Raw genomic sequence first — 13782 nt, 5'->3', positions numbered from 1 at the left:
ACTACTTACATACTATAATTTTATCTATCTTCAGTTGGAACTGAAAAAAAAATCAAGTTAAATGGTTGCAGAAATAATTCAACGTAAAAAAAGTGAAGTTAGAAAAAAGTAACTTAATAATGACTAAAATAAGGCAGATGAGTTTGAGATGGGGCTGTTATCCTTTATTCCTGTAAAGGTCTAATGATACAGAGTTAGGAAATACAAAGTGCCATTTGCAAACACTCCTGAAATCTAATGACCGTGGTAGATGATACAAATCAACCACAGTTCTTTTATCTACTGCATTTAGACATAGCTTCAAAATACTTTGTAATCAGCTGTTGGTCTTTTTAAATGAAAACCTATTTAGTGTCCTAGATGCAATCTAATAAGGGAGGGAAGTAGGTAATGGAAAAGTCAGAAACAATCTTTAGATCACTTATTCAGATCCAGTATAGCCTCCAAAGCGTAGACCTTCTGTTACATTGAATTTATAGAAAGCTAGAGCACATCAGTATGGTGGTTCTCAACCTTGATACCAAGATCTCAATGACTGATGTGTTGGGATGGTTGTCACAAATGTTTTCTCATTAATGATGAAGTAGAGTTTGCTCTAGGTCTCTAGGAATAGCCCCAACCCTGCAGCCTGTAATCTAGGTTCGTTCATTGGAATACGAATACAGTAGTCTAACAACTTCATCTTCCTCATCGCAGAGAAAAAAAAAAAGTCGTGAACGTCTATGGGTTAAGAGAACATTTTTTTTGGTTTTTTTTTTAATTATACTTTTAAGTTTTAGGGTACATGTGCACAACGTGCAGGTTTGTTACATATGTATACATGTGCCATGTTGGTGTGCTGCACCCATTAACTCGTCATTTAGCATTAGGTATATCTCCTAATGCTATCCCTCCCCCCTCCCCCCACCCCACAACAGTGCATGCACATGTATGTTTATTGCGGCACTATTCACAATAGCAAAGACTTGGAACCAACCCAAATGTCCAACAATGATAGACTGGATTAAGAAAGTGTGGCACATATACACCATGGAATACTATGCAGCCATAAAAAATGATGAGTTCATGTCCTTTGTAGGGACATGGATGAAGCTGGAAACCATCATTCTCAGCAAACTACTGCAGGGACAAAAAACAACGTTTGTTTTGAATTGGCTGCCTCGTGGTGAAAAAGTCACTGCAGTAGCTGCTGTGGCTATAGTAGTCTTAGTAGTTAGAGTCCATCTCTCTGCTGGTCATTTCAAAAGTCTTAACCCCAGGGAAAGCTTGACTCACGGAATGCTTTGGGACATTAGTGCTGAAGGATTTAATTAAAGCCAACTCTGGAAGAAAGATGTCAAGTGGGCACACAGTATAGTGGATAAGAAGGTGTCTGACTCATGAGGAATGACACACAGACAGAACATGTGCTCAGTAAATTTTGTTTTGTTTTGTTTTTGGTTATGAAGAACTGAGAGAACACTGGCAAAACTTATTCTACTTCCCAGAAAGGGTTAAGCTTTCTTTGGTTGCTTCACACGGGCCTTCTGAGTTCAGGTAGCCACGGTGGTTTTAGCACTGTAAGTTGGGGGCATATTTGGCACTTTTTAAAAATTATTGTAAACTGCTAGGTCTAGGTGTATTTCAGGAAGGAAGTTAGAATGTTGGGGGATGATTTACATCTTCTCTCATGTGGGTAGACTCTCTCATTCTCAAATAGAATGGAGTATATTCACGGTCATATTCTTCCTCTCCACCAAAACAACAATTCCCTCTCCTTCTGTGTCATCTATTCTGGGCAGAGCTTAGGGGTGGGGGAGGATTAAATACTGAGTTCTATTAAGAGATCACCTCCCTCCTTTTGGCCTTCCTTTTAGCCACATTGTTTCGGTCTCTCAGGAAGCTCTTTGCGCAGCGGGAGGGGGCAGGGAATAAACTTTATGTAAAGTAGGAACGAGAAGTCCCAGTTGCTTTTTTACGGAGTGGTCCTAAAGGCTTACTCCTGACTTTGTGCTCACTGGTATAGAAGCAGGACAGGGTGGCAACAGGAAATTCCTGAGGAAAATTTCTGGTCTAGAACATTCCTAGGTAGAAATTCTGAGGAAGTTCTGGACAGTCCCTGCTCAAAGGGAGAATAAGGGGAACATGGAAAGGATTCATCTTGTCCCTTGCAGCTGCTGGGCTAGTGAATTAACTAGGGAAGGGAAAGTTGTTTAAAGCCACATCAAACTGATAAAATGCTGAAGCTGGAGAGAACTGGGAAAGACAAAATGTGCTTACAGTGTGTCCCAAAACAGGAAGAGAGAAAAGAACCTGTCAGTAGTTATTTTCTCAATTTAAAGTTAATCTCAAATGAAACAGTGGGGAAAATACTGCAAAACAAAAGGCATGCCTGATTAATGAGAGGGTGAATCAAGTGGTGAGAATCAACAGTTTGACAAACTGTACTTCTAAATGTACATTTATGGAATTGGGGTAAAAATGGTAACAGAATTTGGTAATGAAAGTGCTACACTGAAACAGCTGGTTTAAAAAAGTACTATCATTTTGAATGATAATGATGCCATTTGTAGATTTTCAGCCATGCCCTAGGGCTCAGTAGACTGAGCCTGAAGTAGCGATTTCATCTATCTTTCATGTAAAACTACTACTTTTTTATTTTTTGCATATTTATGTTAAAATACCTGTAGTTATATTATAGACTTAATTCTACATTCTGATTTTTTTCCAGTTAATGTAAAGTTGCCATGAGTGGTTATTCATTCTTCATGTTGTGTCATCATTTTTGTGGCTGTGTAATATTCCGTCTAGAGACTGTACTGTACTTAACCGGCTATGCCTTTAATATTTAAATTATTTCAAAGGCGTTTTAGGTTATTTTGAAGGATATTTTCTGTATTCTAAATAACCTGCTATAATACATAATACAGTTTTCCCTTGTTTTGGATTATTTCCTTAGGATTATTTTTGAAATAAATCAGTGAAGGAAGTGAACATGTTGGTGATTCTTTATACTTATTGCTAAATTGCTTTCTAAAACATTTCTGTGATTTCCACATGGCAGAGTAAGAGTGGCCACATGTGCCTAATGAAGCTACAGAGTGAAGGATTCCCTAGATTTAGTGCAACTGGAAATGATTCTCACCTGAGACGATGCTGAGCCCATCCTGGTTTCAAAAAAATATTTTTAATGAATTGTTATGGAAAAAAGTAAGAAAGGCATCTGCCAATCAGAAGGGAAGTTTTAGTCTCAGTTGGAAGGATTTGTTTTTCCAGTTTGCATTGTCTTATGTAATAGATTTGGGGCCTAAAAACTTAGGGATTAGATGAAACTTTAATAAAATTAATCTTGTTTTATGTAAACAGCACCTAAAATTGCCTTACACATAGTGGGGGCTCAATAATATTTATGAGTAAATGAGGCACTGTGGGAACCTTGTCATTGACGGTAACCCTGAAGTGAATTATGTTTGGTCATGTGGTGGAAATTAGACTGCTGTGCTTTAAGTTTCAGATATTTTTTTCCACCCAGGTTTTCTTAAAATGAGGTATGCCTCTACAGCTTACAGTTACAGCCAATATTTGCAAATACTGTAACAAAAAAACTGTTTAACTTAAAAACAAATATTAAATCCTTCACCTCCCAACCCATGTGGAAAAGGGAGGAAAAGGGAAATACTTTTAAAAAGTGGGAATTCTTAAGTATTGCAATCTGTTTGTTTGGAGCAGGAACTATTTAAAAACTCACAACTTTAATAAGTGAAGGAGACGTACTGATGTAAACCACAAACATGTTTAGGGCATGAGATCATTCAGGCTCCTTCTCACCTTCAGAACAAAGGTTTCCCCTCTTCTCTAGTTTTTCTTTTTTTTCCTTTCTTTCTTTCTTTCTTTTTTTTTTTTTTTTTTTTTTTGTGACAACCACGTCAAGTTTTCCTAGCTGTGGCCAGGGAGCACTACTCCAGCTATTAAGCTGTGTGAGAACAGTGAACTTGGTCGGCAAGGATCATTTGTCTCCAGTTGTCAACAAAGGCTTGTTTTACTAGGAACAATGACTACACAGGTTTGTGTAGAGTGTTGTGTGCAAAAGCGTTAATCAGTAAGCAGCTTGAGCCATACTCAGAATCTCTTTTACATAGTTATTTTGTTCATTAGAGGTGATCGTTGTTTCTGTCAGTTGGCACCATTTGAAAAAGAAGTTCATCAGTATGCCGGGATGCTTTCTGCATAGTGAGATTGACTCAGTCCTGTGTTTCTTTCTTTTGGTTCTCTTTAATCAGTTTTCACCAGAGCACAGCCATGTTATTATTGATGTTTAAGTACAGCAAAGTGGTTAAATGATAATGATCTTGGTTTTCATCCAAGATAACAGATTTTTTTTTCTAGCTTGGGGAATACTTCAGTGCCCCGATGGAGTTTTTACACACTGACACTTGCATTTATACATTCACACTCACAGAAGACCTTCGTTCCAAAGAGGACAGACAGGAGGACTGCTGGCTATTGGAAAGGGTGCTAGTCTAGAGCCGGTAGGAGTAACTGGGGGTAAATGAATTCTTCTGCTCTGTTTGGCACTTACCAAAAGGACTAAATCACTGCAAGAAACCTTCTGAACATAATTCCAGCATGGCTGAATGACTGAGATCAAGTCGTTAGAAACTTAAAGTTGATAAAAGTTGCATTTTGAGTCTTAAGCGGTGGCACATGCATGAGCCTTCTGTCTGTGCACATATTTCAGGAGACCCTCCCCAACTTTACCCACTCAATGACTCCCCCCATCAGTTTTTTTTTTTTTTTTTTGAGACAGAGTCTCACTGTGTCGCCCAGCCTGGAGTGCAGTAGTGCAATCTCGGATCACTGCAACCTCCGCCTCCCGGGTTCAAGCGATTCTCCTGCCTCAGCCTCCGGAGTAGCTGGAACTACAGGCAGGTGCCACCACGCCCAGCGATTTTTTTTAAATTTTTAGTAGAGACAGAGTTTCACCGGGTTAGCCAGGATGGTCTCGATCTCCTGGCCTCGTGATCCACCCACCTCGGCCTCCCAAAGTGTGGGGATTACAGGCGTGAGCCACCGCGCCTGGCTCCCTCATCACATTTTTATTAAGTCCAGTGAGGTGCAGCTTTCCTTGCATAACTGAGGCAGGACTGATGCCATGGAGTGTATGTGGCGATGCCTTTTTGAGTCCTTCCAACTCTAGGGACTCTTAGGGAGCAAAGAGCTTGGACTAAGAGGTCCATAGTCAGATAAACCTATTTTCTGAAATAGTTGCATGACCTTGAGCAGGTCACTTAAGCTCTTTATATTAACAATAAACACACAAATACAAGCATACCTCATTTTATTTTGCTTCAGTTTATTGCACTTTGCAGATACTGTGTTTTTGACAAATTGAAGGTTTGTAGCAAACCTGCATCGAGTAAGTGCATTGGCACTATTTTTTCCAAACAGTATGTGCTCACTTCATGTCTCTGTGTCACATTTTGATAATTCTAGTAATATTTCAAACTTTTCCGTTGTTATTATAATATCTATTACGAAGATCCATGAACAGTGATGTTTTGTGTTACTATTGTAATTGTTTTAGGGTGTCATGAACTGGCCCATATAAGACTAAAATGACAAACTTAACCAATAAGTGTTGTGTGTATTCTGACTGTTCCACAGAGTGCCCATTCCCTATCTCTCTCCCTCTCCTTGTGCTCTTGTATTCCTTAAAACACAGCAGTATTGAAATTAAGCCAATTAATAACCCTAGAATGGCCTTTAAGTATTCAAGTGAAAGGAGGAGTCGCACATATCTCACTTTAACTCAAAAGCTAGAAATGCTTAAGCCTATTGAGGAAGGCATGTCTAAAACCAATTGTGTCAAACATTTAGCCAAGTTGTGAATGCAAAGGAAAAGTTCTTGAAAGAAATTAGAAGTGCTCCTCCCATGAACACAAGAAGGATATGGAAGCAAAATATCCTCATTGCTGATACGGAGAAAGTTTGAGTGGTCTGGATGGACAGTCATACTGACCACAAAATTCCCTCAAGCTAAAGCCTAATCCAGATTAAGCCCTAACTCTCTTCAGTGTTACAAAGGCTGAGAGACGTGAGGGAGCTTCACAAGAAAAGTTGGAAGCTAGCAGAAGTTGGTTTATGAAGTTTAAGGAAAAAAAGCTGTCTCCATAAGATAAAAGGGCAAGTTGAAGCAGCAAGTGGTGATGTAGGAGCTGCAGCAAGTTCTCCAGGAGATCTAACTAAAATCACTGATGATGATGGCTACACTAAACAGACTTTCAATGTAGATAAAACAGCCTTCTATTGGAAGAAGATGCCATCTAGGACTTTCATAGCTACAGAGGAGAAGTCAATGCCTGGCTTCAAAGCTTCAAAGGACAGGCTGGCTCCCTTGTTAGGGGCTAATGCAGCTGGTAACTTTAAGTTGAAGCCAGTGTTCATTTACCATTTTGAAAATCCTAGGGCCTTTAAGAATTATGCTAATCTATTCTGCCTGTGATCTATAAATGGAACAACAAAGCCTGGATGAGAGCACATCTCTTTACGTCATGGTTTACTGAGTATTTTAAGTCCTCTGTTGAGACCTACTGCTCAAAAAAGAAAGATTTCCTTCAAAATATTACTAGTCATTAACAATGCACCTGGTTACTGAAGAGCTCTGATGGAGATGTACAAGGAGATTAATGTGTTTTCATGATTGGTAACACAACATCCCTTCTGCAGCCCAAGGATCAAGGAGTAATTTCAACTTTCAGTTTGGTCCTGGTATAAAGTACAAGCCTATTTGGAGGGGGCCTGTCTAGTGCCTAGATTGAGGGTTTCTGTGGTGACAGTGGCCAGCTATAACTTGGGGTGTTTGAATGGAGATGATCACAAGAGAAGCAATAGCTAACCAAGAGCATCAGGGTTCACCTCATCTGTCAGGTTTGAAGATCAAAGACAGCCTGGGAACACTCTCTCTTTGGAAAAGATGTCAAAGATGTCACCTTTGTATTTGTATCGTTGGTATCAAAATTATGTAATTGGCCATTAGAGCTCATCCTCCTTATTAATATAAGCATTGCTGTCGTGTGGTGGTAGTAATGGTCTTGGAAGTGGAGTAGCAGATGATATTCTAGAAACAGAGAAGAACCTGGCTTAAATACAAAAACATTTTGTCTATACACTGATTCTACCACTGGAGGTATAATAAGATTAACAGTCTGCTCTTTGGGATGGTCAAAGTTCCCTGGGTATTTTTAACTTACCACTATTTAGATCTTGGTGCCAATTATTTAAATATGACTAGTGGTTGGACATTTTAGGAGGAAAAACAAAGAATAGGAATGACACAGATAGTCTCTTAATATTAGATAACGTTTCTGTGTCCTCCAACTTCCTCATCTTTATTATGGGTACTTCCAGAAGCCTTTATTGATAATGGTAATAATAACTACTTTTGTTTTGTAGTAGCCTACCTGTTGCTAGTACTGGTATAATGTTTAGGAAATTTCTTTTATATTGACTTCCAAACAAACCAGTAAGTCAGAGATTATTATCTATATTTTCAATAACACTTTGAAATTCAGAGGAGTTATCATATTGCTGAAAGTCAAACAGCCAGTAAATGGCAGAGTAAACATAGGAACTTGAAGTGTTGTGCTAAAGGTAGGTGTCTTCTTTGTTTCTTTGTTTCTTTCTTTTTTTTTCTTTTCTTTTTTTTTTTTTTTTTTTAAGAGACAAGGTCTGCCTCTGTCACCCAGGCTTGAGTACAGAGGCACGATCATAGCTCACTGCAGCCTTGAACTCATGGGCTCAAGTGATCCCCCTGCCTTGGCATCTCAAATAGCTGGTACTACAGAGGTGCATGCCACCATGCCTGGCTAATTTTTAAATTTTTCTGTAGAGACAGAATCTTGCTATGTTGCTTAGGATGGTCTTGAACCCCTGGCCTCAAGCAGTCCTCCCACTTCAGCCTCCCAAAGTGCTGGCATTACAGGTGTGCGTCTCCATGCCCAGTCCTGTCTGTTTCATTTTTAAAAATATTTTTTTGAGTTGTAAAACAGCAAGTTAAAATTATACAAATCCTATACAAAGCTAAATGTTGAGTGAAATTATTTTTCTTGCTTTCTGGTTACCCAAAAAAAGTATTGGTTGGGCAAATTGCCTATTGTGGATCAGAGGGTGGGGCTTTAACAGGAACATAATGACAACCACAGGGCTTTGTTGATTGGCTTTGTTGCAGGCCTTCCATTAAGTTCATTTGAAGTACATCCTTTAATATTCCCCATATGGGTCTGTGAGTAGTAGGACCATTGTTTACATTGGTAAAAATTTTGATCTTTGAATGCCTGAAAATGTCTTATTTTGCCTTAATGATTGAATAATACTTAGTTGGTCATAAGATTATTGATTTACAGCTGTTTTCCTTAGAACTTTGAAGATTTTTACATTGTTGGCCTTGACGTTTATTTTTAAGACGTTTCCTAAGCATCTAATTGTTGTTCCTTTAAGAGTTTTGCTTTATTCTGATGTTTTTCTGTTCCATCATAATGTATCTAGATGTGGATTTATCTTTCTCCTGCTCATGCTTTCTATCTAAGGACTTTTTCTCTAATTCTGGAAGATCTCTCCAAATATTGTATCTTCATAATTTTTTTTCCATTCTTTTCAGAAATTGATATTAGATATATATTGGAGCTGGCCAATCTATCTTACAGGCCTTTCAACCGAACCTTAATTTTAGAGAACAGACTCTTCTCTCCCATGCTTCCTCTTAGGTAAAGTAAGATAACAGCTCCTTGCCATTATCTTCAAATTTACTGTTCATTTTTAATATGTCACGTATAGATTTGAACTCATTCATTGAGTTTTTCTAGTTCAGTTGACTGTACTTTTATTTTCTAAGATTCTTAATTGTTTTTTATATCTACCTGTTCTTACTCTGCTTTTTAATTTTCATAAATTTATAATTGTTTAAATGGATGCTTCTTTATTCATCTCATTATCCTGAACATATTTATCTTATTTTATTTTTTACTTTTTTACAGACAGTCTCATTCTCTTGCCTAGGCTGGAGTGCAGTGTCACAATCATAGCTCACTACAGCCTCAAACTCCTGGGCTCAAGTGATCATCCCACTCCAGTCTCCCAAGTTGCTGAGATTATAGATGTGAGCCACTGCACCTGGCTCTAAACATTTTTATTTTAAAGTCTTTGTATGACTGTTCTATGAAATTAATTTCATGTGGGCTGAATTTATAATTGGATGGGGGATTTGGCTTTCTTAGAATTAGATTCTTTTATGTGTTTTGGAATTTTAGTTTGCAGGTTCATTTTGAACTTGAGAGATATTTGCTTTTTATGCTATTTCTTTTATTCTCCCTCTTTGACGGATGCTTTTGTAGTTTCACAGTTACTTTCACCTGGTTCCCCATGCGCAGTCCATAATTAGGTATTATAATGGTGCTTATATTTCCCTGCTCTGTGATGACTTGGGCAGTATCACAGATGCATCGAGTAAGCAGAAAACCTGACTCAATTCTTTTCCTGAGACTTCTTTCCTTCTTTTCTAGGTCCACAGCTGCTGATACCCCTGGGGCCCCAAATAATAGGTCCTCCATCATTTTCTATCGCTTTCTTTTACAAATGTGTGGCTATCTGGGTATTTTCAGAGAAGGGAGGAGGCCCTACCTCAGTCTTTGGCTTGAAGGAGTGAGCCAGACTCCCTTCCCATCTAGCACATGGTAGTTTGGGTTCTCATACCCCTCGCAAGTCCAGTTCTCTGTTGCCCCTGCCTGCTTCTGGCCTGCAGTTCGGTATTTCATTGACCTTCGCCCCACTTTCTTTATTTCTGTTTCTTTCTTAGTTGGTGGAGATTTATCGGGCCTTTAAGGCTGATGACGCTTACTGGTTTTCACTTTTTAAAATTAAATTTTCAATATAAAATATGTGTTTAGATCAGAGGGGCTGTTTTGGAGCTTGAACTTACAGGACTGACTTGACCTGACCTATACCATTTCACTTGGCCCGTCGGCCTTTCTTTGAAGTCCTTTCCCCAGGAATGCCAAGGAACTATTTTATTGCTGTCTCCTGTCCTTTCCTCCTTCTCTTCCAAAGTTTCTTCAGAAATTAAGGGATTTACTTTCTTCCTAGTGTTACCTTGATTGGGCAATGTTCAGAATAAATTTCAGAGCTCCACCTTCAGTGTAAATATCAGTGTTATTCCAAGCTAGGGAGAATAATATTAAGAAATAAGTAAGTTTACAGAAATTATTCTCAGGAACCAATTTTCAGGAGATGTGACATTTGATGTGATGTGTATTCAAGTATAAATTTCCACTTAGCTTTTATATGTGTTATAAAATAGCTGAAAGAGCTTCATGTGTTGTTAGAGTTCTCTTTCTTTTACTTTTGAATAAGAAGTAATATTGTAATAAAAACCTTTTTATATCAAAGCTCTTTAAAAAGCAAATGTTAATAAAACTGGAAATATTTTTTTCTTCATCTTAATAAATCCAGAGAACCAGAAAATATCCGTGCTTCAGGGCACTTTTAAATGTACCGTGAATACTTTACGTTTAAGGATAACACTGTGCAGGAGACACTTCTCCAGCCCTCCTTTACAATCTTTTAAAGACCCACTATAACTTTTCTGTTATTCCAGTAGGTTGTGCTCTTTTGCTCAGATCCAGAACTCTGGTCATGCTAACCAACCAAAGTTAGACAACTTGCAATTCTTTCTTTATGTACAATAGTTTAATATTAACTATTGTTTTCAAAATTAGTATTTATCTTTAAAACAATTATTCTTAAAATCTTTTGAAAGTATGTGCGCATGGTAAAATTTTTGCACAAAGTGAAAGCGATTTCAGCGAAAGCAAATCTCTCTAATTCCAGCCCATGCCTTCAGGCTTCCTCCTCAGAGATGGCCAATGTTGCTGTTCCCTCATGTATCCTTCCTCACATCTTTTATACATGGATATTACCTTTTTCCTCAGTGGTAGCATATCATACGCACTGTTATGAACCTTGTTTTTTACACCTAACAACTAATTTTGGAGCTCATTCCCCATCCATATATACAAAACTGCCTCATGATTTTTTACATTAAAACAGTTAACTATTGCTAGAATCTTGCTGTACTCAACAAAGCATTATGTAGGAGTTGTTAATGTCCATGACATGTTTGTTTTATTTTAGAGTAGGATGAACCCTCTTTCTCTGGCCCTTCTGGTGGGTAGATTTTGAAACTTCATACTCAGAGAGATAACAGAGCAGAGTTCCACTGTGTGGCTCTTCAGTTCTGTGTTTTCAACAATAGGTGGCACCAGCAATTTCTGTATTTGGGCTGTATGTAGAGAGGAAGCATCATCATTTTGATCATTTTTCATTTCATATTGTGTTCACAGATTATTAAGAGCAAAGATGTGTTTACCTGAAGGCCTAGAGGCTTGCACATGGATACATGCATACATAGGGGATTAAGAAGCACTTTGTAGAACGGTACCTGTACTGCGATGCTACAGCTCTTCCCTTGCCCTGGCTGTATTTGCAGCTTCATCTAATGAGACCAGACACTTAGTTAATACATGAGATTTTATAATGATGAATATGATTTTATATACAAAGTAGATCTTTGCAGGTGCATCCTTTTGAGATTTATCGTGGTAGAAATTTGGTCTTGGCTACACATATGAGAATGTATCATTGCACTGGAGGGTTATGTACTCTCAGAGCTTCACCTGTTACATTCGCATGGACAGCCCCTCTCCGGCTCAGCCCCGACTCCTCCCCTATACTCCCTTGTCAGTTGTGCCTAGAGGTCCCGTCAGCATTTAAAACAGCATTTTAAAACTAAATTCATCATCATTCATGAGAGCGGTTCCCATCTTCTTCTTTTTTTTTTTTTTTTTTTTGCCACCTTAGACTTCTCTTTATGAATTTCTACTTTACCCTTTTGTCTTTCAAAAAATTTGCTTTATTTGTATTCCCTGACAACAAGGCCCTGATCACTTGATAACTGTGTGATTCTCCTGGCCCCTTCCCTTTTGTTCTTATAAGTATGGGGAGAAATTCTCCTGGTTTGAGGATGAGAAATGGATACAGTGGGGCTCATCAAAGTTTTCTAAGTTAGACATGTACTGATCCCAACAAATTATGTGATCCCAAACAATTTCAACACAAAGTACATTCCGATGCCACCATTTCTTTGCCTGTGTCCCTCGGGTCCCTGGACAGAACTTGGAAATGGGAAGTGAAGAACATTTCATTCTATGACCCTTAGCAGCATTGTTTTTTAATTGAATCAGAATTGCTTCTCCCTTGCTTTTCCTTCCTCAAGGGAGTTCAGAGCTCCTTGGCTTCACCTGACTTTATGCAGTGGTTTCATCCCATGATAATATGTTGGGTTTCTGTCTTAATAGAACCTTTGGTCTTACAGAAGTCCCGGATAGGTCTGCTGTATATCTTTATCCCAAGACTTTATACATTCCAGAGTTCCTGAAAGCTCTTGCAGTTACTGGCTTTTCCAGGATTCAAGTCACTCTTGCAGTCAATAGGAGATACTCACATGGAATTACTACAGCACACAGAGAATTTTGAGTATTCTTTGGCCCAGAGAATACTGATCGGCCCCATATTTTGCCTTTGTGCTAGGATGGAGCTCCATATCAGAGAGATCAATACAATCTGAAAGTCACTGCCTCTTCCATAAGTCCTGCTTTAAAACCTTCGGTAGCTTTTCTTAATTTTCCTTTCAAGGCTATCATTGTGTGGGCGTAACTTACTTACTTTTTTTTTTTTTTTTTTGGTAACATAACGTGACCCAGAACCATCTTTAGGAGTGTGGCAAATTCTGTCCTGTCTTTCTAGGACGGGGTAAAATAACCTGCCTCAGGATGGAACACCCAACCGAGGGAGGAAGAGAAAACTAGGGGTGCTTGCTTAGGTTGCCAGTTGCTGCAGCAAGACCTGAGGCTCCAGTGCCTCCTTCTGTGCCCGTGCCCATCTGCAAAGCAAAGGCCCAGAACTGCTGTGTCATTCTTCCACAGACCGCTCCCTGCACCAGGCTTCCCCCTTGCATGCAAGAACTCTTGTTTTCCTTCCCAGGATGCTCCTGTTGCTAGTTCTCACCAGATTTATCTCTATATGGCTGAGATCAGCTATGCACCTCTTAAGCATGAATAATTCTGATTCCCTTTAAAACTGGATGGGTCAGTTTTCCAGGAATTTACTCCAAACTAATTAATAATAATTGCCACCACTTACTGAGGCCATGGTGTAAACAGATAACTTTGCATCCACTGTCTTTTTCGTCCTCACCAACAGCTCTTATGTGATAAATATTGTTACTCCTTACTCATTTTTCAGTAGAGGAAACCAAGATTCAGGAGAATTAAGTAACTTGCCTAAGGTCACACAGATAAGGAGTAGCCAGCTAAGGAGACTTGGCTTTTCTCTTGAGACCTTGCTATCTCCAAACTTTGAAGCAATGCTATAGAGTTCTACTTCAGAAGGAAGCAGGAAGCCATATCATTTTCTTATCTTTACCTCTGCTTAGCTCCACCTTACCATTCCCTCCCCCTTAGGCATAGTCGGGTTGTTTCTGTGAGGCGGAGTTTGAGCCAAAGCATAGCACACCCTAACTTTCTCTTGGGAGGAGCTCGTCTTTCTGTTTGAGTTTCAGATGTTGTCTCTGTTGGTAGTTTCTTCATTTATTCAACATATATTTATTATAATGACAACATGCGAAATACTGAGTATGAAGTTGTTAAAAAGATGTATATGGACCTATCTTTACGGAGTTTTATAGTTTAGTTG

The 13782-nt window shown here is 38.7% G+C and overlaps 1 protein-coding gene across 17 annotated transcripts in view, besides 1 other annotated feature; it reads left to right on the top strand.

Annotated features, from left to right (window-relative positions):
* GLIS3 (GLIS family zinc finger 3) overlaps positions 1 to 13782 on the top strand; it is a 666339-nt gene that overhangs the window by 250388 nt on the left and 402169 nt on the right. The gene's annotated exons all lie outside the window — the stretch shown is intronic.
* Positions 1599 to 2118: an enhancer, noted in NCBI's record as "NANOG hESC enhancer chr9:4237960-4238479 (GRCh37/hg19 assembly coordinates)". NCBI's record gives its function as "activates a minimal SCP1, AML or CMV promoter by ChIP-STARR-seq in naive H9 embryonic stem cells {active_cell/tissue: H9 hESC(naive)}" and the evidence as "EXISTENCE:reporter gene assay evidence [ECO:0000049][PMID:30033119]".

This window comes from Homo sapiens, chromosome 9 (assembly GCF_000001405.40).
Source record: "Homo sapiens chromosome 9, GRCh38.p14 Primary Assembly".
Taxonomy (NCBI): Eukaryota; Metazoa; Chordata; class Mammalia; order Primates; family Hominidae; genus Homo; species Homo sapiens.
Note: the sequence above shows the minus strand (reverse complement) of the source record. Positions and strands in the feature narration are given on the sequence as shown.